This window comes from Homo sapiens, chromosome 15 (assembly GCF_000001405.40).
Source record: "Homo sapiens chromosome 15, GRCh38.p14 Primary Assembly".
In the NCBI taxonomy this organism is placed as follows: Eukaryota; Metazoa; Chordata; class Mammalia; order Primates; family Hominidae; genus Homo; species Homo sapiens.
Genome location: NC_000015.10, coordinates 99,391,424 through 99,418,752, shown reverse-complemented (window position 1 = coordinate 99,418,752; position 27,329 = coordinate 99,391,424). Strand labels below are relative to the sequence as shown.

General features: G+C 46.3%; 2 long non-coding RNA genes across 2 annotated transcripts, besides 4 other annotated features; one reads left to right on the top strand and one right to left on the bottom strand.

The window, feature by feature from the left end:
• Positions 1–1,529: 1,529 nt before the first annotated feature.
• LOC105371017 (uncharacterized) lies at positions 1,530–22,776 on the bottom strand. Its single transcript, NR_188335.1, has 5 exons — positions 21,324–22,776; positions 18,619–18,811; positions 15,168–15,511; positions 12,674–12,878; positions 1,530–4,751 (listed from the first exon to the last, which is right to left on the bottom strand). It is a non-coding gene; the product is annotated as an uncharacterized LOC105371017 (long non-coding RNA).
• Positions 8,810–9,309: an enhancer, noted in NCBI's record as "H3K4me1 hESC enhancer chr15:99949649-99950148 (GRCh37/hg19 assembly coordinates)". NCBI's record gives its function as "activates a minimal SCP1, AML or CMV promoter by ChIP-STARR-seq in naive H9 embryonic stem cells {active_cell/tissue: H9 hESC(naive)}" and the evidence as "EXISTENCE:reporter gene assay evidence [ECO:0000049][PMID:30033119]".
• Positions 14,164–14,665: an enhancer, noted in NCBI's record as "H3K4me1 hESC enhancer chr15:99944293-99944794 (GRCh37/hg19 assembly coordinates)". NCBI's record gives its function as "activates a minimal SCP1, AML or CMV promoter by ChIP-STARR-seq in naive H9 embryonic stem cells {active_cell/tissue: H9 hESC(naive)}" and the evidence as "EXISTENCE:reporter gene assay evidence [ECO:0000049][PMID:30033119]".
• Positions 15,622–16,139: an enhancer, noted in NCBI's record as "H3K4me1 hESC enhancer chr15:99942819-99943336 (GRCh37/hg19 assembly coordinates)". NCBI's record gives its function as "activates a minimal SCP1, AML or CMV promoter by ChIP-STARR-seq in primed H9 embryonic stem cells {active_cell/tissue: H9 hESC(primed)}" and the evidence as "EXISTENCE:reporter gene assay evidence [ECO:0000049][PMID:30033119]".
• Positions 16,140–16,659: an enhancer, noted in NCBI's record as "H3K4me1 hESC enhancer chr15:99942299-99942818 (GRCh37/hg19 assembly coordinates)". NCBI's record gives its function as "activates a minimal SCP1, AML or CMV promoter by ChIP-STARR-seq in primed H9 embryonic stem cells {active_cell/tissue: H9 hESC(primed)}" and the evidence as "EXISTENCE:reporter gene assay evidence [ECO:0000049][PMID:30033119]".
• LINC02244 (long intergenic non-protein coding RNA 2244) lies at positions 16,335–24,103 on the top strand. The gene is made up of 4 exons (NR_187226.1): positions 16,335–16,481; positions 17,401–17,503; positions 22,009–22,267; positions 23,360–24,103. It is a non-coding gene; the product is annotated as a long intergenic non-protein coding RNA 2244 (long non-coding RNA).
• The last annotated feature ends 3,226 nt before the right edge of the window (positions 24,104–27,329 follow it).

The following is a 27,329-nucleotide window of genomic DNA, read 5'->3' as shown; positions in this document are numbered from 1 at the left end:
GCTATAGACCAATGGAACAGAACAGAGCCCTCAGAAATAATACCACACATCTACAGCCATCTGATCTTTGACAAACCTGACAAAAACAAGAAATGGGGAAAGGATTCCCTATTTAATAAATGGTGCTGGGAAAACTGGCTAGCCATATGTAGAAAGCTGGAACTGGATCCCTTCCTTACATCTTATACAAAAATTAATTCAAGATGGATTAAAGACTCAAATGTTAGACCTAAAACCATAAAAACCCTAGAAGAAAACCTAGACAATACCATTCAGGACATAGGCATGGGCAAGGACTTCATGACTAAAACACCAAAAGCAACGGCAACAAAAGCCAAAATTGACAAATGGGATCTAATTAAACTAAAGAGCTTCTGCCCAGCAAAAGAAACTACCATCAGAGTGAACAGGCAACCTACAGAGTGGGAGAAAATTTTTACAATCTACCCATCTGACAACGGGCTAATATTCAGAATCTACAAAGAACTTAAACAAATTTACAAGAAAAAATCAAACAACCCCATCAAAAAGTGGGTGAAGTATATGAACAGACACTTCTCAAAAGAAGACATTTATGCAGCCAATAGACACATGAAAAAATGCTCATCATCACTGGCCATCGCAAAAACGTAAATCAAAATCACAATGAGATACCATCTCACACCAGTTAGAATGGCGATCATTAAAAAGTCAGGAAACAACAGGTACTGGAGAGGATGTGGAGAAATAGGAACACTTTTACACTGTTGGTGGGACTGTAAACTAGTTCAACCATTGTGGAAGTCAGTGTGGCAATTCCTCAAGGATCTAGAACTAGAAATACCATTTGACCCAGCCATCCCATTACTGGGTATATACCCAAAGGATTATAAATCAAGCTGCTATAAAGACACATGCACACGTATGTTTATTGCAGCACTATTCACAATAGCAAAGACTTGGAACCAACCCAAATGTCCATCAATGATAGACTGGATTAAGAAAACGTGGCATATATACACCATGGAATACTTTGCAGCCATAAAAAAGGATGAGTTCATGTCCTTTGTAGGGACATGGATGAAGCTGGAAACCATCATTCTCAGCAACGTATCACAAGGACAGAAAACCAAACACCACATGTTCTCACTCATAGGTGGGAATGGGAATTGAACAATGAGAACACTTGGACACAGAGTGGGGAACATCACACACCGGGGCCTGTCATGGGGTGGGGGGAGGGGTAGCATTAGGAGATATACCTAATGTAAATGGCGAGTTAATGGGTGCAGCACACCAACATGGCACATGTATACATATGTAACAAACCTGCACACTGTGCACATGTACCCTAGAACTTAAAGTATAATAATAATAATAAAAGATTATATAATCAATGCACAGGACTCAACAGTAATAGCTCAAAACATAACTGACCTAGATTCTTTCAAATAGCAAGATCAGATTAATAATACTATAGCTGCATTTTATATTTTTCTCTTAAAATTCTTTGCCTGCTCAATTAAAGAAAGAATACATACCCAAAGAAAGCAAGATACAATGACTGTGTTTTATATACAATTTTAAATCCCTATCATTTATTTAAAATCTAGACATAGCTTTGATCTACGGAATTAAACTGCATACCATCAAAGAGGGTGTAATTCTTCAGCCAATAAATCCAGGCCCACCCCAGAGATGGTGAGAGGGGGACTGTCTCGCCTGCCTCTCAGGGCTGGGCAGGGATGGGGGATGCAATCTGAGTGTACATGGGACCTCATGCACACAGCATGTCTCCAGTCGCAGAGACCCCTGCCTGAAGGATCACTCAGGGTCCAGCTAGAAGTAGAAACCACCCCAGCTCTTCGAACAGAGAGACTGTACCATCAAGAATTGCTAACCCTTGTGCATTGCAAGGGCAAAAAGTGAAAACTGAGCTAGAACAATAGAGCAGCAACTGCCAGGGGAGGGCTGGGAGCAAAGAGGCCGGGACAGAATGATTAAACTCCCAGGACTGAAGGATCTCTGGAAGCAGTACCCAGGTCCGCGAGGAGTGGGCACAGGCTGGCCGCAGCTGGTCTGCCCCAGTGAGGCGAAGGAACAGAGAAGCAGGCTCTGCAGCGTCCTTCTGCATTTCGTCCTGAATGGGCGTGGCATCCTCCAGCTCCACAGACTTTGCTGGGCCTCGTCCCCTCTGCAATCCCGTAGGGCAGGCAGCCTCTCCAATGGCCTTCGTGATTCCTGTCACCTAGGGACTGGCTTCAACTAAGTAGAATCTGGCAAAGGTAATGGGCTGTCCCTTCCAAGATTATTTGGCTACAAAACGCCTGTGCCCCCCACCTTGCCCGCCTTCTCTTGTTCCCTCCCCTTCAGAGCCCTTGCTCTGGGAAAAGCCAGCTGCCTTGTACTGAGCAGCCCTGTGATCCAGGTCTGCCACCAGCAGCTGGAGAAGGCCTGGAGCCCCAGCAAGGGACGCCAGAGAGAGCCTGGAAGCAGCCTCTCCGGCCCCAGTGGAGCCCTCAGAGCCTCCTGCCATGACTGGGGCCTTGTTAGGAAACCTCAGAATTTCCAGAATCCTCTTCTGACCGCCATTCCAGGCCTGCTTTCTCTGACATGGCAGCCCTCACACCCACCCTGTTAGAGGGTGAAGGCAATTGACGCATACAGGTGCTCCTCGAGTTACATGGGGGTTGCATCCAGGTAAACCCATTCCAAGTTGAAAATATCGTAAGTTGAAAATGCATTTGACACACCTAAGCTACCGAACATCCTAGCTTAGCCTAGTGGACCTTAAACATGCTCAGAACACTCAGGTTAGCCTACAATTGGGCAAAATCATGCCACACGAAGCCCATTTTATCATAAAATGTTGAATACCTCACATGATATATTGAATACTGTACATTCATCAAAACTGCCAATATTTCAAACCATCATAAAGTCAAAAAATCATAAATTGAGGCACCAGGAGCCAGGGACCATCTGTAATTCCTCAGGTGGACAAAGATTATAAGACTATGTATTTCCTATAGCTGGTTGCAGAGAAGAATGCTCCACCCCAAGTGGGTGACAGTGCAGGCGCGGCAGGCCCGGGCTGCCGTGGGGTTCTGTGGTGTCCTCCACAGGGCACTGGCAACCTGTGTCACCCTTGCTGTGGCTCCGTCCTGCAGCCTAGGCTCGCCCACACTGTGATCTCCTGAGTTCTGAAGCTCCCATTCAGCCCTTGCCTGGGCAGTGGGCGTGCGGCCCTCAAAGGCTGGGACACTTCACACTCACAGTGATGTTTCCTGGCAAGCCAACCAGCCAGATTCTCAGCAGATCCCTGGGGCCTCGCCTGGAAGCAGTGGAGATCCTTCAGGCTGCTTCTCAGCCTGCAGGGACTGAATGAGAAGCACCACTGGTTTCAGGGAAGCTGCTACCCACCGAGGTGGAGCCTGGGCTGCAGGGAATTGTTAGGGTGTCCTCTGGGGGTCAGCCCTGATGGAAGGGGACAGAATGGGACAGGCAGGATGGCCCGAGGGAGAAGCTGGTCTCAGGAGCCCCGGAGCTGGGGTGGCCCTGCAGGCTGCACCAAGCTGCGGTGAGGGGACCAAGGTTTACGCCCCCAAGCTGATCCGTCCCTGGCTGGGGGCTGCCTTGGGTGAGGTGGCTACTCTGTTCTACCAAGGCAGTTCCCCAGAGGGCTGACAGCTCTGTGACCTTGAAGTCCTAGGCCTTTCCAGCTTCTCCTTCCCTGGGGCCATGAGCTCATGACTCAGCCCTGGAGGTGGAGGCTGCAAGGAAACCTGGAGGAGGTGGGAATGAGGAGACTGCACGTGGCCCGCGGACTCCCACGGCCAGCCTGTGCCTGTGGGAGATGAGTTCAAGCAGCAGGGCCGGGAACTGACTCACCCTGCGGTGCCCACCGATGAGTGGTGCCCATCGTCCCCGCTCAGGGAAGCTGCCATAGCATCTCATGCCTTTGCCTCCTAATTTCCTACCACCTCCTGCGCTTCAGGAATGGCTGCCTATGAGGCTCAGCCCCACATGGTGCCTGGAGATCCTCGTTTTAAGGCCCACTCTCTTGTTCCAGGTCCACACTGGCTACCACTAGGTCCTTTCTGACAGGAGCCAACAGCTCCTGGTACTGACAGGAGCCCTCCTACTGCCCCATCAGTGACCACTGCCACAATAATGCTATGGGACGGACTGCCCTGAAACTCAGTGACTTGAAGCAATGAGCAATTATTTAGCCCACGAGTCTGCAGCCAGTGATGCAGGCTGGACTCGCCCGGGCCATGGTCCTGGCTGCTGGCTGGTCTAGGGTGGCCTCGGCTGGGGCAGCTGGCGACACCAGTCCTGTTCCAAGTGTGCTGTCCACCGGCAGGCGAGTCGAGGCACGTTCTCACACTGTGGCAGAGCCGAGCGAGCAAGCCCCGTTTGCCAGCACTTTTCAGACCTCTGCTTGTATCCCACTTGCTGACATCACTTGGCCAAAGCAAGTTACATGACTGACGCTGGGTCAAAAAAAAAGAAGGCCCTGCAAGGGGACTCGTGATGGACGTAGATTCAGGGAGGGTGCGGTTGACAGCCCCCAGCCCTATATGCTGCCTGACAGGAAAAGGAAGCCAACAAAGCAACCCCAAAGTCACAATCCCAAAGCTAGTTCTGATGTGAGGACAGATGCTCGGGCCCCTGGAGACTCTTCTGGGCTGGACTAACGTGGCCACAACCGGGAGAGCAGGGACTTCATTTGATTCACACTGCTGCCACCATCTCTAACAGTGCAACTCCTGCACAGAGAATGGGCAAAAAAAATAATTAATCAATGAATGAAATCTAAAATGTGAACCAGGGGGTGTTTCTGACAATGTTTGTATGTCTTATAGGGTTGTAGAAGGACATAACCATGTTTTCAGTGTTTCTATGCAACAAACTTCATTTTATTTCATTTGCATTTTTGTCTTAAACTCTACCACCGCAAACAATTTTATATAATTACCACTAGCTGTATCACCCCCCCACCCCTCCTGCCGCCAAAAAAAGTGGCCATGGCTGGGTGTGGTGGCTCACGCCTGTAATCCTGGCACTTTGGGAGGCCAAGGTAAGTGGATCACCTGAGGTCAGGAGTTCTAGACCAGCCCAGCCGAACATGGTGAAACCCCGTCTCTACTAAACAATACAAAAATTAGCTGGGCATGGTGGTGGGCACCTGTAATTCCAGCTACTTGGGAGGCTGAGGCAGGAGAATTGCTTGAACCTGGGAGGCAGAGGTTGCAGTGAGCTGAGATTGAGCCATTGAACTCCACCCTGGGCAACAAGAGCGAGACTCCATCTCAAAAAAAAAAAAAGAAAAAAAGGCCGGGCGCGGTGGCTCACGCCTGTAATCCCAGCACTTTGGGAGGCTGAGGCTGGCAGATCACGAGGTCAGGAGATCGAGACCATCCTGGCTAACACAGTGAAACCCCATCTCTACTAAAAAAAATACAGAAAAAAACTAGCCTGGTGTGGTGGCGGGCGCCTGTAGTCCCAGCTACTCGGGAGGCTGAGGCAGGAGAATGGCGTGAACCCGGGAGGCGGAGCTTGCAGTGAGCAGAGATGGCGCCACTGCACTCCAGCCTGGGCGACAGAGCGAGACTCCATCTCAAAACAAACAAACAAACAAACAAACTGTGTCCATGATTTCATCACCATGTGGCCTCTGGAGTCCAGAGCAAGAAAAATGCCGAGGGTACTCGTTAGTCCTCAGTGGAAGTGACTTATTGGGAACTTGGCATGGGCTGGCTGAGGCCCTGCTCTGAGCTGGCGTAGTGCTGAAGCCTGTCCCCAATCATAGCCACATGGACAGGCCTGGACCCCATGACCAGGGAGGGGAGAGGGGCATAGGGAGGCCAGCAGGAGAGGGACCACCAGCCTTCCCCGGGGTTCTTCCCCAAGCTGGACTCCTGGTGGGTGCCAGGCAGTGCGGTTGGAGGAACACACCAGACGGTGTCTGCCATGCAGTCCCCTCCAGTGCCGAGTCCTTGTGACTTCTCTCAGCCTGAGGTCCTGCCTGCCTTCAGCAGCCTGATGCAGCCCTGCCATGCCCCGCCGTGCCTCTGTGGCTCTCCTCGTCTTAGCACTCTTCTCCTCCCCTTCTTGGTGCTGGAGCAAAATGAGGCTCCAGGCAAGGCATCTCCTAAGGGCACTCATTCAGAACAAGAAACCAACGCAAGTACTCAGGGCATGGAAGCCCTCCGTGATTAGCAATGGCATATAGGATCTGTATACATGTGCTGGGCATGAACACACGCTGGAAGGAAGATTCATTGCTTTTGTTTCTATGGATTCATTTACTTTCAGCTCTAGGCCTCCTTATGCTGGGCTGGAGGGAGCTTGACCTCAGCCATCGTTAGGCTTCTTCCTTGGGAAGAGCAGAGGTCACAGGCTTTCTCTATGAGGCCAAGGTGCTGGAGGCCCTGCTCACTGGTCTGTCCTGGGTGTGGTGAGACACTAGACCTCAGCCTGCCCTGCCCTTGGGATCCGCCCAGCGTGCGGGTGTGGGAATCTTGATATGTTTAGGAGTTCTAGAATCCATCTACCTCCCAGTGCTGCTGGAGGGCACTGACTAAGAGCTTCAGACTCCATTCCCCAGGAAAAAAAAGAAAAAAAAAATTATAAGAAAAAAAAGGGCCGGGCGCAGTGGCTCACACCTGTTATCCCAGCACTTTGGGAGGCCGAGGCGGGTGGATCACAAGGTCAAGAGATCGATACCATCCTGGCCAACATAGTGAAACCCCGTCTCTATTAAAAATACAAAAATTAGCTGGGCGTGGTGGCGGGCACCTGTAGTCCCAGCTACTTGGGAGGCTGAGGCAGAAGAATCGCTTGAACCCGGGAAGCAGAGGTTGCAGTGAGCCGAGATCACGCCACTGCACTCTAGCCTGGCGACAGAGTGAGACTCTGTCTCAAAAAAAGAAAAAGAAAAAAAGAAAGCCAGAAACTAACTCAACTGACTCTCCTACCAAGAATGAAAATAATAATGCTAATACTAATCGCTAATGAGAATACTGCTACTAATGATTGCTAATGAGAATTATACTACTACTAATAACTGCTGTTAGACTGTGTGCTTGCTTTTGTTTAGCATTGTCCTAAGTTTCTTATGAATAATTAGCTCATCTGATCCTAACAGCAACGCTAGGACGGCGAAACTACTCCCATTTTACAGATGAGGAAACTGAAGCACAGACGCCTTCGGTCAGAAAACAAGCAGCAGAGCTGGGTACCCCAGTGCTCTGAACCTCTGAGCCCTCCGGCCTCTCTAAGGAGAAGCACAGCCATTGGGATTGTGGAGCGGTGAATCCAGGCTCTCTCTTTGTAATGAGGGAGCTGATCTCACCAGAGAGTGGCATCCTGGCCTTGGAGGTATGCCTGTGGTTTTGCTGTCTTCTTCTCTGGTCTCAAAGCCCATTGCCTGTACTCCTTCGACTTAGGGTCTTTGGGGGGTCACTTGGAAAGAGATCCAGGACAGGCAGAGCCAAGGCTGCAGGTGCCTTTGACATGCCTGTTAATCCAGGCAACTCACCCTGTGACATCAATGTGCAATACTGATCCTCGAGGTACACTGGACTAGTCTCAGAGTAGGTGTGTTTGCCAGAAAGGGAGTCTGCAGGGAGGTTTCCTTGAAGAGACCCTCAGCCCTTTCTCACCTAAGCTCAAAGAAAACCACCTACACTAAGATGCCAAACCACAGGGAAGTTTGTTCTCACATAAATTCCATGCCGAGGCTCAGGGTGGGCTTCACGACTGGCTCCATCCAGGGGCTGTGGCCCCATTTCTCAGTGATTCTCTGTCTCCCCGAATTAACTGTGTCAGCTTCATCCTCAGTCTGGCTTCCTTCATGGTGGCAAAATGGTGGCAGCTGTCCCAGGCCTCAAACCCGCCCAGATGTCCAGAGACAAGGGAGGTGTTTCTTTCCTTGGCTCACTCTGAAGAGCAAGGAACCATTTTCACATCTCGCTGTCTCAAACTAGGTCACACGCCCACCTCCAAGCCACTGGAGCTACAACTCTGGGGCCCAGGGTAATGCCTGTGCTGACTGGCTCAAGCCTGGATTCCTCCACCAATCACAGTGCCCAAGACAGTGGGATGCTGCTTGGCCAGTCAGGCTCAGCCCTGGCCCAGGGATGCTTGGGGCAGGCCTGGGGAGAGGGGAGGGAGCTGGTGGACAACAGCAGAGGAACCCAAGCTCTAAAACGAGAGGACATTAGTCAAACACCAGAAAATCAAACTCTATGGGCCTTTGCCTTAGGGCTGGGCAGCTAGGCTGGCTGGTGGCTGTGTCCTAAAATGGATCCTTCCTTTAGGATGCATCCCGGCTGGCCTGCACTTGGCACCTTACCTGATGCAGAGTGGTGATGGCTGGAGATGGAACCCCTTTGTTGTGGGCCACCTCCCCAAGGTTGACTAGGTCTTCAGAGACCCTTGGGAAACCATAGCTTTGGTTTATTTTATTTGTTTTTTTTATTTATTTAATTTTTTTTTTTGAGACAGAGTCTCATTCTGTCACCCATCCTGGAGTCCAGTGGTGCGATCTCAGCTCCCTGCAACCTCCGCCTCCCAGGTTCAAGCAATTCTCTTGCCTCAGCCTCCCAAATAGCTAGGATTACAGGCATGTGCCACCGCACCAGGCTAATTTTTGTATTTTCTTTCTAGTAGAGATGGGGTTTCACCATATTGGCCAGGCTGGTCTCAAACTCCTGCCCTCAAGTGATCCACCCGCCTCAGCCTCCCAAAGTGCTGGAATTATAGGTGTGAGCAGTGACTGCACCAGGCCACTCTGTCAATTTTATATTTATGAAGCCATCTGAGGGTAGGTTTGACTCACATCTCAGACAAACAGCCCCAGGTGAAGAAAGGGATGTGTTATGGGCAGTGGAGGCTGACATCCAGCCCACCTCTGTTCCTGATGGGCACAGCAGCCTCTCACACAGCACCAGGCAGGCACCGAGGTCCCCTGCCCATAACCTACAGCTTGCAGTGGGGGCATTTACCATGGAGCTGTTCTAGAAGGGCTCCCATTAAGTGGGGCCCCGCTCACCAGGTGGCTGCTGGGGTGGCATCCAGGGTGCCCATCAGGCCCATGTTCTGGGTGATGCCTTTTTTTTTTTTTTAACACACAGTCTCACTCGTGTCACCCAGGCTGGGGTGCAGTGGCGCGATTTCAGCTCACTGCAACCTCCGCCTCCTGGGTTCAAGCAATTCTCCTGCCTCAGCCTCCTGAGTAGCTGGGATTACAGACGCCCGCCACCATGCCTGGCTAATTTTTTTGTATTTTTAGTAAAGACGGGGTTTCACCATGTTGGCCAAGCTGGTCTTGAACTCCTGACCTTGGGTGATTCGCCAGCCTCGGCCCCTCAAAGTGCTGGGATTAGAGGCGTCAGCCACCGTGCCCGGCCCTGGGTGATGCTTTTGATGAGCACAGATTTAAGATGCGTTTAAACAGGAAGGCAGCAGCTTCCCTCTGGCAGCTGGGGACACGGGAGGAGCAGGAAGAGCAGCAATCTCCAGCCCAGCCCTGGCTCTGGAGCTCCCTCTACCCCTTGCCAGTATTAGGTGCTAGGTGCTTTTCAGGGTGCCACGGCCGTCACCATGACCCAGATCAGGAAACAGTGCTGTGTATGTGTCACTGGCACCAAAAACTTTTCTGCAGCCCTAAACCAGCATACGGAATATGCTCTCAGCTTCAAATCAGGCAAATGTGCCTTGTTTTTTTATATCTTTAAGTGACATTATCATTAAAGTGATCGTGTTGTGCTCTGGAAGGAAAGGCACTCCTTGGCCAGACACTGCCTCAGAGTCAGCAAATGCTGGCCATTTCTGGGGAGGACAGGCGGCAGCCAGGAGCTCAGGGGAACCATGCACAAAACTTATCCACAGGGCCTCATCTCAGCAATGCCAAGTTAGTGAAAGCACAGTTGAAGAACAATATTATCCGTGCAATGCCCACAAAACCATACTATATAAGATGCGCAACATTTACGAGTGCAAACATATAGCAAATAAACAGAGAGACCCCAGACTACCATCAGCAAGAGTGGCTGCAGCTGGTGAAGGGCCTGGAGCCTGGGTGGGCACAATATTAGCTCCACCATTAATACTGTTTATTCTTTCCACCACCTCCCTGGGGCAGCTGGGAGTGGAAGCCTGGCTGCACAGCGAGATGTGGTTTGATGTCTGACCTTGTTTTGGGTTTAAAGGCATCCAAGTAACTTGTCTCAGCACTTAGAAGTGCATCAGAGCCAAATGTCTCCAAAACTGGGCTCTGAGCCATAAGGAGAAAAAAGGAGGCCGCAGGCTTGGCAGGAGTGTGATGCGAGCGGAGGCTGGAATCAGCCCCTCGGGAATGCTATCTCTCTGGGGACAGGAGGAGGGCTTTCCTACAGCACCCCTCTCCCTCCAACCAACTCAGCTCCAGGGAATGAAGATAAATACTGAGCCACGCCCAAGAGAGGGAGGGAGTGGGCAGGAGGGAGTGGGCAGAGTTTGGGGGATGGCAGGGAATGGGGAGAAGCTTTCCTTTTGAGGCCTTGTCATATACCAGGCACATTTCATTATTCCTTAAAAAAATCCGAGGAGAATCTCTTCGTCGTTTCCCTTTATAAGATCAGGAAATGAGGCTTAGAGAGGATGAGGGGCATGGCAGGGCTGGGGGCAAACACATGCCATCTAGCTGCAAAGCTGTGTCCCCTCCAGGGCAAAGGTGGCTCTGGACTTCAGGGGCAGCAGAATGTGGTGGTGCCAGTGACTAGGACTTGGGGACCATCACCTCCAGAGTCAGCCTCATCAGCCTACAGGAAGTCTCAGCGCTGCCACAGCAGCTTCTGTGGTTCTCTGGCTGCAGGGCTAGGTCCTCAAAGCCCAGCCCTTCTGAATCTGAGTCCAGGGCTCGAGAGGTCTGCAAATGGGAAGCAGGGTCCGGGGAGCACCCCATGGAGGCAGACACGTGCCCATGCCGCAGGCCCAGCACACCTGCCTTAGGTGGGATTTATGACAACCCAGAGACCCTCCAGCCTGACCTGAGGCTGTGTGCAAAGATACACGTGCTTTGATTATCAAGAAAAATGGGACAGTAAAGTAGCTGTTACTTAATACATGCAGGTTCCCCAGGCAGATAAAACCTTTCAGGCACGTGAGGCCCAGGGCAGGTGTTGGGGAGCAGCCCTCAAAAGGTCTTGGTGGAGCCCCTAGGCAGAATCCACCAGCTCCTCTGTCTGAGCCCTACCTGCCCGAAGGCTGGAAGCAGCAGCTTTCAGCTCATCACCCTCAGCCCTTGTGTTGCCCAAGGTCCCAGCACAGCAAAGAGGCAATGGCAACCAATTTGGGCAGGGTATCAGTGTCAGATGGACTTCCATTCATGTCTGTTGATTGGTAAGGACCCAGGCCAGGACCACGCAGACAGCGTGCCTGGCTGGGACGGGAGGGAAGAGCAAGCTCGGTCCGTGCCGTGCCCACCCAGCCCTGCTGCACCTGGCTTTGCAGGCTTCTTTGTCGCTCTGGTCCCGACTGTCCACCTGGATGAACCGAGAGCTTCCTCAGAGGAATGTGCAGCACCATGATGGGCACGAGGTGGGGACGGGCCTGATTTCAGGCTACGGGTGGACTCTGAGAGGCTGAGAAGGGGGACTTGAGTTTATGGGCACACACAGCTCTCTAGCTTGGGTTTGGGTAAGAATCGGGACCAGTTTTTTAGAGAATCTGCTCTTCTCCTCTTTCTCATCTGAAAAACTCTCACCAAGTCTATTTTTGATCTTCAGCTGGAAGAAATCTTTATTTTTAAGATGCTAACCCTGGCACATCCTAGCTCCAGAGCAGCAGCTGGCAGGGAGCACAGAAAGCCTGACGGGGCTACGTGGGTGCACCTGGAAGACTGGCCACTGCTTTTAGAGCAAGGACCAGAATTCTTGCCACAAACTTTTGGCTCTGGAAAGGCCAACTGAATGGCTCAGAACCGGGAAAGGTTTTTGTTTGGTTGAAGCGTTTTTAGGGATGAGAATTATTATTATTATTATTATTATTATTATTATTATTATTATTATTATTATTGAGACTGAGTTTCACTCTTGTTGCCCAGGCTGGAGTGCAATGGCGCGATCTCGGCTCACCACAACCTCCGCCTCCCAGGTTCAAGCAATTCTCCCCGCCTCGGCCTCCCAAGTAGCTGGGACTGGTAGCATGTGCCATCATGCCCGGCTAATTTTGTATTTTTAGTAGAGATGGGGTTTCTCCATGTTGGTCAGGCTGGTTTCGAACTCCTGACCTCAGGTCATCTGCCCGCCTTGGCCTCCCAAAGTGCTGGGATTACTGGCTTGAGCTACCATGCCTGGCTCGAGAATTATTTTTATGAGCAAGAAGACACGTTGTTGTCACCATTTCACACCTGCAAGAGCCGCCTAGTTCGGGAGGTGCGTGGTCCTTATCCTGACAAAGTCATATCTCTGCTTTCTCATTTTCCAGTTGTGAACACAGGTGTCCTGTGTGCCCTGACCACGCCATGTTCAGTTACTTAACCACAGCTCGCCCAGGGCGCCTTGGCTGGAAATGGTGATATTTGCCAAAGAGTAAAGCCCCGGGGACATCGTCCCCCTTCCCTGTAAGGAAGGCACACTGTGGAATGGTAAGAGGGTGGAGAGCCCAAAGCCCACACCCACACCTTTCATTTCACTTGACTTACCGTCTCATTCATTCACTTCATTCGTTCATTTTACAGGAGCCTTGTCTGATCTTCGAATCACCCAGAAGTGTGGTCTCCTTGTCCCCAAGGCTGTTTCCTGGAAGAGCCTCTTTCTGTTCCCCATCACCGTGGAACTATAAGGGTCCCTGGAGCAGTGGCAGCTGGGGCTTCCCTCTGCCATGCCATCCAGATGCAGCACTCCTGTCTAAGAAAGTAGAAATCGGGGACCTGAGAGACCATCACGGAGCCTGCCTCTTCCTCCGCAGTGAGACTTCTTCCGTCCTGCAGCAGAGAGAAGTCTTGAGGGGACATTCCAGGGGCCCCCCATCAAGCCTGCAAGGGGGGAGCTCCAGGGAGAATGGCTGGGCCCACTGCCCGCTCCAGTCGCCACATCACAAAATCCTTGACTGGACCCAGTAGTGGGTTTGGACAGGGTGGCATTTATCCTTGTTGGATTATAAGTGTTGCCTCTTCCCTCCCTCCATTCTCCTTTCCTACTAATGTCTTCGTACTCCAGTGGCTACACATGAATACATTATGAACTTCTCAAAGGCAGGGACTGTGTTTGATCTGTAGGAATTGACATAGATCCTTTGCTTGACCAAACTTTAGTCAGATTCCTGGGCCTTCTCCTAGGCTCATCTTTGCATTTCCTTGTAAAATCCAGTTTTAACAAGAACCCTGCTGAGTCCGTTGAGCAAGAACCCCCTACCATTTGTACCTGATCACCCTCGATATCTGATCCAGCTCTTCCCTCTCCACCATCCCCCGGGTGGGGTCTGCTCCCTCTGGCCTGTCTTCTGCAAGAATCCTGTGAGGTCCATTTGCTCCGGATTCCCCAAATCCCCCTTTCTCCTGATGTTTCCTCTCAGGAATTTTCCATCCACTGCCCCTACCCTGATCTTTGGCTGTCAGTTCCCCCTTGCCCGAACCGTATTCAGAGCCGACCCAATCTCCCCTCCCCACTGTATAAGCCCGTCGCAGCAGTCCCTGTAGCTATCCTGATGGTCCTGAATAGTCTTCCTTACCGCACTTTAACGACTACCTCGGAATAATTTTTCTTTAACAGTATCTCTGCGGGGCCCCAAAGTGGTATCTAGTATAAGACCTTAGGTACATGTTAAATATTTCTAGAATGATGAGACCTGAACTCCCCTCCTGCATGCACTTGTCATAGATTGCATGGAAAGTACTGCAGTGGGAGAAAGGGGACTGTTTTATGTAAGGAAGGAAGTGACCTACATCGTTAGAGAACTACAAATAAAACATTTTCTAAGAGTGAGAGAGGGAGAGCTCGCTGCTGACCGGCGGGAGTGAGGGGGTCCAAAGGCATCTGACCCCTAGGGCCAAGAATACGCAAAGGGCGGCACGTTCACAGGCTCAGGCTGGACTCCGTGCCGCCGCTGGCCCCGGTAGGGAGCAGGCCTTACCGGAGGATGTGGACCCTTACAAAGTCAGCATCAGCAAGAGACAGGAGGTGGGCCCCCCAGCCTCCTACATCCCACAGAGAGCAGAGCAGTGGCGTGGGGAGCTGGCCAACAGATGTCCCACGGGAGGCTCCCCGCCTCTGTCACTCTCCCTGTTTGTAGGGCCCACATGAGAAAGTGGCCCCATCACAGCGGGAATACCCACACTGCAGGGTGCCAGGAAATCTGGCTGCTGGTGCCAGCTGTTTCTGGGAGTTGTCTGGGAATGCCAGTTGTCTGGCAACTGGAGACCCTAGCCCAGGAAAGCTGCAAAGAAACCACTTGTCCCAGATGAGGCCGAGCTCAGAGGCAGCCCCTCTGGCTGGAAGATGGGGGTCCAGGTCCCCACTAGCTCATGGTCCGAGCCACATGGTGATCCCGGTGTTTGTAGAGTGCCCTGCTCCTTCTTCATAGACAGCAAAGGAATCGGTTGCTGGCAGCTAGATAGGAGGGGCAATTTTGAATTTAAGAAAATAAGAGGATCAGAAGCCATTCTGTATAAGAGATTCATGAAAACAAAGAGTAGAGGAACAGGTTAATACAAGAATGGAGTAGCAGGAGGGATCACAGCAGACCAGACTGATCTGGACAGAAGTGGATGAGGTGTTCTAAAGGCCTGTGGGACACCAGGATTTGTTGTAAGACGCTGTCCTGCATCCTCTCCCACCCACCTCTGTTGGCAGTGCCCTGGAGTCACGTGACAACCGAAAGCGCCCCCCACAAAGGTCTGAATGCTCCCTGGGTGGCAGTGCCCGTGCTGTGAGCCACTGACCCAGAGCCCTCGGGGGTTTGCCGATGGATGGTAGGGGCTGAGGTGGGCGGTTCGAGAAATACTCGTGGGCCAGGGTTGGCCAACTGTGGAAACCTTCTGGACTGGGAAGTTAGTCAGGGGGAAGAGTCAGTGCAGTGTGAGTCATGTTGGGGGCAGGTGGTGGCTCCCTGGCGACAAAGGCATGGGTGTGGAGGTTAGGGCTGGGGAGAAAGGAGAGCTGGTAGCCTTTTCCTTTTGTTTTGTGTCATTTACGTACCATAAAATGCACACGTTAGTGTAGAATTCAGTGGCTATTAGTGCGTTCACAGAGTTGTAAAACATCACTGCAATCTCGTTTTAAGTGACTGGTTGAGCTTCTGTGAGGCTGAGGATGCAGACCAGGCCTCCGGGCTGGTGAGGACTGGACTTCCTGGTGAGTAGGCCCAGGAGCCCCTTTCCTGGCAGCTTCCATTTTCCTTCCGGGTGCTCGCTGTCTTTGTAACCATCTCTTTGGGTATGTTTTGCTTATTGTCTTCTTTCCCTGAAGGCAGGGCCCAGCTCTGTGCAGTTCACCCACGAGTCCCAGAGCCCAGCACAGCGCCTGCCCTTTGAAGGGGTGTCCTGCGAATACATGAATGAATGATACAGTTTTAGCCTCAACTCTTTTACAACGAGGCTGTGAGACCCTCGCTACATCTTCTAAATTTCCTTTGGTATCACTTTTCTCTTGTAATAAATGTGGGCAAAAGTATCTGCCCCCACCCAGGACTGCACAGGAGAGATAGTAATTCTTTTTATTTGTTTATTTTTTTGTGACAGGGTCTGGCCCTGTTGCCCAGGCTGGAGTGCAGTGGCGCGATCTCGGCTCACTGCAACCTCCTCTTCCCAGGTTCAAGCGACTCTCCTGCCTCAGCCTCCTGAGTAGCTGGGATTACAGGCATGCACCACCATGCCTGGCTAATTTTTGTATTTTTTGGTAGAGACGGGGTTTCGCCATATTGGCCAGGCTGGGAGAGACAGCGATTCTTTGCTGTGTCGCTATACAGCTCTGGTTGGTGGTTAGGCCATTGGAAAGCCTTCGTTTTCTCTGAATTGGGATTGTTTGTCATTGTAGACTGTTCCTCTGCAGACTGGCAAGCCCGTTTGTGCCCTGCTCCGCACTGGGGGCCTGGCAGAGAAGAGGGGCTGGAGCCCAGTGGGGTTTACCAGCATCTTCACCAAGCGCTGTGCCCAGGAATGAGGTGCTGTTCCTGGCCGCACGTCTGGGGGACGCTGCCTTCGAATCCACTCACAGGTAGGCCGGCCCTGCCTGCAGGCCTCTTTCCACCCAGCCAGCAAACACCTCACCGTCTTCATGTGTCCTGTGGCTTTTCAGCAGGCTGGATTTTCTCCTCACAGCGTCTGGAAAACAGAGTCAAGTTTCTCCCTCCCCTCCCTCGCTACTCTCTCCTCCCTCTGCAGGCTCCGGATCAGGCTGCCAATCTGTAAATGATGTTTTAGGTTTTTCTTTGTTGTTGTTTTGGTGCTGTGAAGCCTGCCTTGTTAACACCAGGTGCTGAAAGATTAAAACTTATCAATCACCATCATCAAGGTGAGGAGGGGTAGGATGGTTTCAACTAGTCCCAAATTTCCTGGAGGAATTTGGCCTCTTGTCAATTTCCCTCTCCCGAGGCTGACATTGCCAGCAGAGCAAAGTCCTCTCCAGCTGCCCACTCTCAGGCTTTACTAAGTTAAAAATCTCTTAGCTTGGGCTCTGTGCTAAGCACAAGAAAGGGACCAACATTTCTTGACTGATAATATATTAGTTGTTTCTTGCTATTTGACTGTGAGACTCTAAGAATAGTATATTTTTCTGGAAGCAGAGTTTTAACAACCTAGAAAGCTTAATTAAGCTTTCCTGCTGCATTGTTTAAATTGAATTAGTAGCAGAAGAGTATTTTTAGAAGTGAAATGATAATTTCATGTAACAGATAACATGTCTGAATATTCTTAAACCTCTATATAGGCCAAAACATAGCGACAGAATTGACTTCACAAGTCTAAAAGTATGAACGGTTTGCTTTTACACACGTCATCACTATCATATCTATTTATTCAATTTATACCTTGAATTCCTTTTTCCTAAGTACAAAGTGAGCCGGGGTTGGGAGGAGAACTTTTAAAAGCACTTTACAAATGTGACGGGCCTGGAGTGATTTTTCAGTTCCTGGTTTTGCCGGTCTGGGTGGGCTCACTTCCTAGCTTTCAGTCTTGTTTGGATTTTGTTTCTTTTATTCAGAGGAACCAGGATATCACTTAGTGGTGACTGCTTTGTGTATTACTTTGGATAGTAAAAGTACCTGATATGGTTTGGCTGTGTCCACACCAAAATCTCATCTTGAATTGTAACTCCCACAATTCCCACATGTCATGGGAGGAACCCAGTGGGAGGTGATTGAATCATGGAGGCAGGTCTTTCCCATGCTACTCTTGTGATAATGACTACATCTCACGAGATCTGATTATATAAGGGGGAGTTGCCGGGCACAAGTTCTCTTCTCTTGTCTGCTGCCATGTGAGACATACCTTTCACCTTCCGCCATGATTGTGAGGCCTCTCCAGCCACGTGGAACTGTAAGTCCAATAAACCTCTTTCTTTTGTAAATTGCCCAGTCTCAGGTATGTCTTGATCAGCAGCATGAAAATGGATTAATACAGTACCATTAAAAAGGTTTGTTATGAGGAAGCTGCAGGTTAAAATAGAAAGCAGCCGTTTAATTCATGCTTTGAAGTGTGCATCTCCTCAGAAACTCGGGTGACCAAAGTGAGGTCCCGGATGGCATATTTTCAAATGAATGCTCGAGCTGTGATGGACCTTTAAGACTCTAGTGAAAAATGTGACATGAAAGTGGTCCAAATGAAACTCTCAGATTTTCCTGGGTCTTTCTATATAAGTAGAATAAAGACTGTTTTATACTGGTAATGTGGAAAATGTAGTTTGCAAATTATGGCCACCACAACTCCTGATGAAGATGACTAAAATATTAATATAAAAATAATGGGAACTGGCCAGGCACGGTGGCTCATGCCTGTAATCCCATTACTTTGGGAGGCCGAGGCAGGCAGATCATCTGAGGTCAGGAGTTTGAGACCAGCCTGGTCAACATGGTAAAACGCCGTGTCTACTAAAAAAATACAAAAAATTAGCCAGGCGTGGTGGTGTGCACCTGTAATCCCAGCTACTCGGGAGGCTGAGGCAGGAGAATCACTTGAACCCAGGAGGTGAAGGTTGCAGCGAGCCGAGATTGAGCCACTGCACTCCAGCCTGGGCAACAGAGCTAGACTCCGTCTCTAAATTAAATTAAATTAAATAAAATAATGGAAACCATCTAATAGAAGTAGAGGAAGTGATCTCAAGTAGGAATCATCTATATTTGCTTGCTACAGGTTTGGCAAAGGGGCTGAGAGGGCTTCTTGGAGAAACCTGAGGGTGAGTTGGGGTGAGGCATGATGAATTCTATTTGAGGAATTTTCCATGTCCTCTGAGATAGGTTTGCCAATTCAGATACATCAATGAGATCACGCAAAGATATGGGACTGGGCAAGACTGTCCCAAAGGAAAGTGGCGTGCGAAGACAACTCCTTGAGGTGGCCACAGGCACAGGCAAAAATCAAGTTATTTCTTGCTTTCTTTTGATATTTGTGACATCAGATGATTCTGCTCTTTAATCTCACTTTTTCATGTTTACCTTTAGCAGGAGTTTCAGTATTTCTCCATGTCTCCTCCTCTGCCAAACACTGAAAATTCAGGAACCTTTTGTAAACAATCACGCACCATTTCTTCTAAATTTGTATAGTACCTCCTTCAATTAGGGCTTTTCTGGTGACCTGCAAAACCTCTGGGCTTCCCTTCATCTTCAGCTGCTCACTTAGCTCAGCTTCCTACAAGGTAAACAGAGGTGGGCTCACTTTCATTTCAGGTTTCCTAAATACTGAGCCTAAGTCTTTCTTCAGAAGAGCTATCCCCCACACCCATGGAGACATGGTCCAGGCTACTCCTACACTCAGCCTATTAGTAATCTCAGAGGCTGCTGCGGGTCAGTGCCAGGCACCAGCAAGTTGTAGGAATGTGACTGATGTTACCAATTCATAACATTTCTTTTTTCTTTTTTTTTGAGATGGAGTTTTGCTCTTGTTGCCCAGGCTGGAGTGCAATGACGCGATCTCAGCTCACTGCAACCTCCACCTCCTGGGTTCAAGCGATTCTTCTGCCTCAGCCTCCCAAGTAGCTGGGATTACAGGCATGCACCACCATACTTGACTAATTTTTGTATTTTTAGTAGAGATGAGGTTTCACTATATTGTTCAGGCTGGTCTCGAACTCTGACCTCAAGTGATCCACCCGCCTCAGCCTCCTAAAGTGCTGGGATTATAGGTGTGAGACACCATAACATTTCTTTCCTTAAATTTGGATTTTCTTTCAGAGCAAACATAGGCACTGGTAAAATTATGCTTATTTGTAAGTAATGCCTTGTTCCTAAAGCAGTGGTATTTCATCATCTCCCCCAACCCCCACCACTCTCTTCTTTTCTCTTTTCTCCAGTCTCTTTACTCTTCACACTTCCTAAGTCTGCAGAGTTTCTTGGCCACAAAAACTCCCCAAAGGGTGCGGCTCGCTCTTCTGCAGCTGACACAAGGACCCCTGCTGCCACACTCGTCTTCCCGATGCCATTTTCTCGGTGTTCACACAGCTCTTTCTGTGAGCTGTTCATTTTAACTAAAGCTGCATCCCACAGCTTATTTTTGTAGTGACCCCAGATCAACAGGCCAACTATTAATACTCTGGCCATGAATCTGATGTAAAGCAATGCTGTGAATTTAATATCAAGCAAAAGCTTAATTGATGAAACTCCAGCTTGTTTTGTTGTTGCTGCTTTTACATAATACGTCAAATGGAGATGGTTCAGGGAAACCTAATGAAGACCGCGTGGCCATGGCCCACCAGACAGTCACACAAATAAAACACGTTTGGAATGAAATCCTATTCCAAGCCTCATCATACATGAATCTTACATTAAATGAAGAGATAACATTCTCTGGGCCAGGCACGGTGGCTCACACCTGTAATCCCAGCAAATTGGGAGGCTGAGGCGGGCAGATAACCTGAGATCAGGAGTTCGAGACCAGCCTGGCCAACATGGCGAAACCCCATCTCTACTGAAAAACATACAAAAAATTAGCTGGGTGTGGTGGCGTGCACCTGTAATCCCAGCTACTCGGGAGGCTGAGGCAGGAGAATCGCTTGAACCGGAGGCAGAGGTTGCAGTCAGCTGACATCGTGCCATTGCACTGCAGCCTGGGCGACAAAGTGAGACTCAAAAAAAAAAAAAAAAAGATAACGTTTTCCAAGATTGCCCTGGTTGAAAAGAACTGAACTGATCATGTGTGTTTATAAAAGTAGTAGCAATTTAGTACTTGCTTGTAAAAGAATTAATCTTCCATCTGCTTGCTCAAATAAAGTCACAGAGGAAGAAACTGGAAGAAATTGATATTTTCAAATACAATAGAAAGAAAAAGACTTAGGTTTAAAAATATATTAAATATACATATACATATAAATTATATTAAATGATATTGTTAGACATGTAATACTTTTTTGTTTTTTTGAGATGAAGTCTCACTCTGTCACCCAGGCTGGAGTGCAATGGCACGATCTTGGCTCACTGCAACCTCCACCTCCCCGGTTCAAGCAATTCTCCTGCCGCAGCTTCTTGAGTAGCTGGAACTACAGGCACCTGCCACCACACCCAGCTAATTTTTGTATTTTTAGTAGAGAAGAGGTTTCGCCATGTTGGCCAGGCTGGTCTCGAACTCCTGACCTCATGTGATCTGCCCACCTCGGCAAAGGTGCTGGGATTATAGGCATGGGCCACTGCATCTGGCCAGTAGACATGTAATACTATGCAGTGATTATGTACATCTATGTCTGTTGATATAGATTTTCATAATAAGTGAAGAAAGCAGGTTATAAAACTGCATAGAAAGATGCCATTTAAGTCAGACCACATATGTATGTGTAGGATTCATACAAAAGAATGAAAAGATAGGCAAATATTCATCAAAAGAGAGGGGATTAATTAAATTTCAAGCTTTTACGTCATGCGTTTCTTTAGCCTGCAGTATTACTTTTGTAATTAGAAAAAGGCTATTTCAATATGATTTAGAAACTATAAAAAATACTACATGGATAGAGAATTCCTGGAAGGAGACTGGGATTAAAGTACACTTCTGTACTTAAAAAAAAAAGATCAGGTCTTCCCTTTTAGGGTAGTCAATCCTGTAATTCCAGCACTTTGGGAGGACGAGGCCAGGCGTTCAAGACCAGCCTGGCCAACATGGCGAAACCCTGTCTCTACTAAAAATACAAAAATTAGCTGGGTGTGGTGGCATGTACCTGTATTCTCGGCTACTCGGGAGGCTGAGGCAGGAGAATCACTTGAACCCGGGAGGAGGAGGTTGCAGTGAGCCAAGATCGCGCCTCTGCACTCCAGCCTGGGAGACAGAGAGAGACTCGATCTCAAAATAAAAAGAAATAAAGAAAAGAAAAGAGAAGAAAAAAGATTATATGCACAGGATTCAACAGTAATAGCTCAAAACATAACTGACCTAGATTCTTTCAAATAGCAAGATCAGATTAATAATATTATAGCTGCATTTTATATTTTTCTCTTAAAATTCTTTGCCTGCTCAATTAAAGAATACATACCCAAAGAAAGCAAGATATAATGACGTTTTTTATATACAATTTTAAATCCCTATCATTTATTTAAAATCTAGACGTAGCTTTGATCTATTGAATTAAACTGCGTACCATCAAAGAGGGTGTAATTCTTCAGTCAATAAATCTAACGGTGCAGGTCAGTGCCAGGCACCAGCAAGTTGTAGGAGGACCTTTGGTAGATAATTCCTTCCTGTACATTTTTGTTCTAAAGAATGGTACCAACACAGCATTGGAAACTGAGGAAAAAAGCAAATATGGCATCCAAATGCTTTACAGAGGAGTACTTCCTAGTACTTTACAGAATTTTCCGTTTGATTTTATGTTCAAACACATTAATTTCATGGTGTCTTACTTTCAGCAGGTTTCAGTCCTTGAGGAGCGCTCACTAGGATGGTAATTGTTTGATCGATAGATTAAGTGAGTTGGAAGACTCTCCAAGTGAAAATTTAAAATTACTGCAGTTTTGGCCTGATGATGTTAACCAGCAAGAACAGAATCTGAAACCAGATGAGCTGTTAGTACTGCTTTCATCTGTTTTACAGCCACAGCGACAGCAGTTCCCTGGCTTCTGGAAGGAGTGTCGGTCTATCCAAAAAATGTACTAACAGATATGTAAAGTAAGTTGCATCACTAGCTTTGATTTTTTTAAATGGAGATATTATATACCATACACTGAATTTTACCTCAATTCAATGGTTTTCGGTACATTCACAAGGTTGTGCAACTATCACTGCTATCTAATTCCAGACCATTTTCATTGCCCCAAAAGAAACTCCATACCCATTAGCAGTTAGTACCCATTTTCTTCTCCCCTCAACTCCTGGCCACCATCTACTTTCTGTCCCTAGGGATTTCTTATTCTGGACATTGCATACTAATGGAATCATACATGTGATCTTTTGTGGCTGGCTCCTTTCATTTCATTTTCATGTCATGTTTTCAAGGTTCATCCATGTTGTGGCATGTGTCACTAACCCATTCCTCTTTATGGCTAAATAATATTCCATCATATGGATATACTAGATTTGATTCATCCATTCATCCATTGATGGGCACTTTTTGGCCATTATGAACATTCATGCACTAGTTTTTGTGTGGATGTGTGCCTAGAAGTGGAATTACTGGTCATGTGGTAACTCTGTTTAACCTTCTGAGGCACTGCCAGACTGAGCCAGCCTGCATAGTTCACACATTCCCACCAGTATGTATGAAAGTTTCAATTTATCCATTCTTGTCAAGGCTTATTATTCTCCACCTATTTGTTTATAGCCATCTTAGTGTGTGTGGAATGGTATCTCATGGTTTTGATTTGCATTTTCCTAATGACTAATGATATTGAGATCTTTCCATGTGCTTTTGGACATTTGCATATCTTCTTTGGAAAAATGTTTATTCAAATCCTTTGACCATTTTTTCTTTGAATTTTTTTTCTTTTTGAATTGTAAGAATTCTTTATATATTCGAAATACTAGACCCTTATCAGATATATAATTTGGACAATTTTTCCCATTCTGTGAGTTGTCTTTTCACTTTCTTGATAGTGTCCTTTAGGCACACATTTTTAATTTTAATGAAATACAATTTGTCTATTTTTTCTTTGGTTGCTTGTGCTTTTAGTGTTATATCAAATAATCAAATGTTTAGTCCAATGTCATAAAGGTTTACATCCACATTTTCTTCTAAGAGTTTATTTTCATTCTTACTTTTAGGTCTGTCATCCATTTGCAGCAAATTTTGCCTACGGTATGAAATAGGAGTTCAATTTGACATTGAATATTGATATCTTAGCAATATTATCTCCCAATCTGTGAACACGAAATTTCTTTATATTTATTCAAATTATCTTTGGTTTTTAATGATGTTAAATCCAAGTATTCTTTGTGATGCTGTTGTAAATGGAATTTTTTGTGTTGTTCATTGCTAATGTATAAAAACCAATGATGTTTGTATATTAATCTTGTATCCTGCAACCTCATTGAACTAGTTTATTAGCTCTAGTAATATGTTGGTGTGAATCCCTTAATATTTTCTACATACAAGATCATGTCATCTGCAAATTGTTTTACTTCTTCCTTTCCAATTTGGATGCTTTTTATTTCATCTTGCCTACTGCTTTGGCTACAACCTCCAGTACAAGATTGAATAGAAGTGATGAGACAGAACATCCTTGTCTTATTTGTGATCTCTGGGGGGGAAGGCTTACAGTATTTTGCATCAACATATCAGCTACGGGTTTTTCATAGATGTCCTTTCTCAGGATGAAAAAGTCCATGTTTGGCTTTTTGAATGTTTTCATCTAAGAGTTTTGGATTTTGCCAAATGTTAAATGCTTCTTCTGTATGCATTGAGATGATCTTGTTGTTTTTGTCCTTTATTCTAATAATATGGTGTACTACATTGATTTCTGTATGTTGAAGTTTGTATTCCTAAGATAAATCTCACTTGCTTATGGTGTACATTCCTTTCTATATGTTGCTGGATTTACTTTCATTAGTATTTTGTTGAGGATTTTTGCCTCTATATTGAGGGCTATTGGCCTGTAGTTGTTTTCTTTGCCTGATTTCTAATGTGGGTGATACTGAATTGGGAAGGGTATCCTCCTTCTCTGTTTTTTGGTGTTTGTGAATAATTGGTGGTATTCTGTAAATGTTTGACAGAATTCACCAGTGAAGACATCTGCTCCTGGACTTTTTCCCGTGGGAAGTTTGTTTTTAAGAGATGGGAGTCTCACTCTCACCCAGGCTGGAGTGCAGTGGTGTGACAATAGCTCACTACAGCCTTGAACTTGTGGGCTTAAGGGATACTTCCACCTCAGCCTCCCAAGTAGCTGGGACTGCAGGTGTGCACCACCACACCTATTTTTTTTTAATTTATTTTTTTTTAGAGACAAGGTCTCACTATGTTGCCCAGGCTGGTCTTAAACTTCTGGCCTAAAGCCATCCTCCTGCTTCAGCCTCCCAAGTAGCTGGCATTACATGTGTGAGCCACCATGCCTGGCTGTGGGAAGTTTTTTGATTACTCATTAATTTAATCTCTTGTTTGGATCTATTTAAAGTTTTTATTTCTTCTTCAGTTTTGATATGTCTTTCTAGAAATTTGTCCATGTCATCTAAGTTCCCTAATTTGTTGTCATATGAACTCTTATTTTTATTTCCATAAGATTGGTAGTAGTCTTTCATTCCTGACTTTGGTAATCTATCTTCTCTATTTTTTTTTCTAGGCTGCCTAAGGGTGTGTCAACTTTATTGACTTTTTCTAAGAACCAGCTTTCGGTTTGATTTTCTCTGTTTTTCTTTCTAGGCTGCCTAAGGGTTTGTCAACTTTATTGACTTTTTCTAAGAACCAGCTTTTGGTTTGATTTTCTCTGTTTTTCTTTCTATCCTCTATTTCATTTATTTTGATTCTAATCCATATTATTTCTTTGTTCTGCTTGCTTTAGGTTTAGTTTGCTATTATTTTCTAGTTTCTGAAGGTTTAGAGCTAGGTTATTGATTTGAAGCTTTTAACAGAGACATTTATAGCTATACATGGTCCTTTAAGTGATGGTTTAGCTGCATCTCATAAGTTCTGGTATGTTCTGTTATTTTCATTACTCTCTTAAGGGACTTTGTAATTTCCCTTGTGATTCTTTTCTTTGACCCATTGGTTAAAAGGAATGTACTGTTTAATTTCCACATTTTTTTAGGTTTCCCAAATTTTCTTCCAATTTTAAATTTCATCCCATTGTGGTCAGAGAACGTGTTTTGTATAATTTCAACGATTAAAATTATGCCTTCTTGATGGATTGTCCCTTTTATTATGTAATGTCTTTGTCTCTACTAACAATTTTTATCTTAAAGTCTGTTTTGTCTGATGTTATATCCACTCAAGCTTTTTCCTTACAGTTTACATGTGTTTTTTTCATCCTTTTACTTTCAGCCTACTTGTGTCATTGAATCTAAAGTGTTTCTTAGTGGGCAGCATATAGTTGGACCATGATTTTTATCCATTCTACCATCTTTGCCTTTTGAGTGTTTAATCCATTTATGCTTAATGCCAATTACTGATAAGGCAGGGTTTAGTCTGCCATTTTGCTAATTTTTTTCTTTTTTTTTTTTTTTAATAGAGACAAGGCCTCACTATGTTGTCCATGCTGGCCTTGAACTCCCCAGGCTCAAGCAATCCTCCTGCTTCAGCCTCCCAAAGTGCTGGGATTATAGGCATGAGCCACTGTGACCAGATTTTTTGCTTTCTATGTCTTTTGTCTTTTTTGTTCCTTTATTCCTCTGTTACTTCCATATCTTCTTTTGTTAGCAGCTATTTTCTAGTGTACCATTTTCTTTGTTGTAGCTTTTACTATATATTCTCTAGCTATGTTCTTAGTGTTTTTCCTGAGGATTATTAACATTTCAATTTATAACAACCTAGTTTGGAATAATGCTAACTTCAACAGTATAGAAAAATTTTCTTCCTAAGTCTCTTCCCTCCTCCTTCCTTTGTAATGTTGTCATACAAATTGTTTTTTCACCTTATGCCCAGATTTTTAATTATTGTTTTATGCAGTTGCCTCAAATCAGATAGGAGGAAAGTTACCAAAAATGCATTTGTACTGCCTTTTATATTTACCAATATAACTACCTTTACCAGTGCTATTTCTTCATGTGCATTTGAGTTACTATTATCTTTTCGTTTCAGCCTTTAAGTTCTCTGTTTTTCTTGTAGAGCAGCCTTGCTAATAAATTCTGTTTTTGTTTATCTGGGCATGTCCTAATCATTTCTGAAGGATAGTTTTGCTGGAAATAGAATGCTTATTTGATAGTCATTCACTTTCAGCACTTGGAATACATCATCCCACTGTTTTCTACACTCCATAGTTTCTGATGAAGATCCCTAGTACACGAGTCACTTCTCTCTTTGCTTCCAAGATGCTTTGGTACACAGTGTGATTTTGTATCCAGGCACGGATCTCTTGAGTTTATACTACTTAAGGTTCATTGAGCTTCTTGGGTATGTAAATCAATGCTTTTCATCAAATTTCAGTCTTTGGCCATTATTTTTTTTTAAAATATTCTACCTCTTTCTCTCCTCTCGTCTGGGACTCCAATTATGCATATATTGGTATGCATGATGGTGTGCCACAGCTCTCTGAGGCTCTATTCATTTTTCTTTATTCTTTTTTCTGTTTCTCAGACTAGATAGAGTTCCTCTCATGAATTTTTCATTTCAGTTATTGTATTTTCAACTTCATGATTTATATTTGGTTCTTTTAAAAATAATTTTTCATTTTCTATTTAGTGAGACATTTTCATACTTTTAGTTCTTTACACATTATTTTTCTTTAGTTCTCTGAACCTATTTAAAATAGCCAATTTAAAGTCTTCATCTAAAAATCCAATGTCTAGACTTCCTCAGGTGTCTATTTTTTATTCCTCCCATGTATGGAACATACTTTCTTCTTTATGTGTCTCATAATTTTTCTGTGGAAAACTGGACATTTCAAAGAACAATGTGGCAACTCTGGAAATCATACCTAGCTTTTTATTTCCTTGCTAAGGGTTTGATGTACTTGCTGGGTTTTTGGCTTGTTTAGTGACTATTCTGAACTAATTCAGTAAAGTCTATATTCTTTATAGTGCGTGGATACTGAAGTCTCTGCTAGGGTTGTTTAGTGGTCAGCTAATGATTGGACAGAAATTTCCC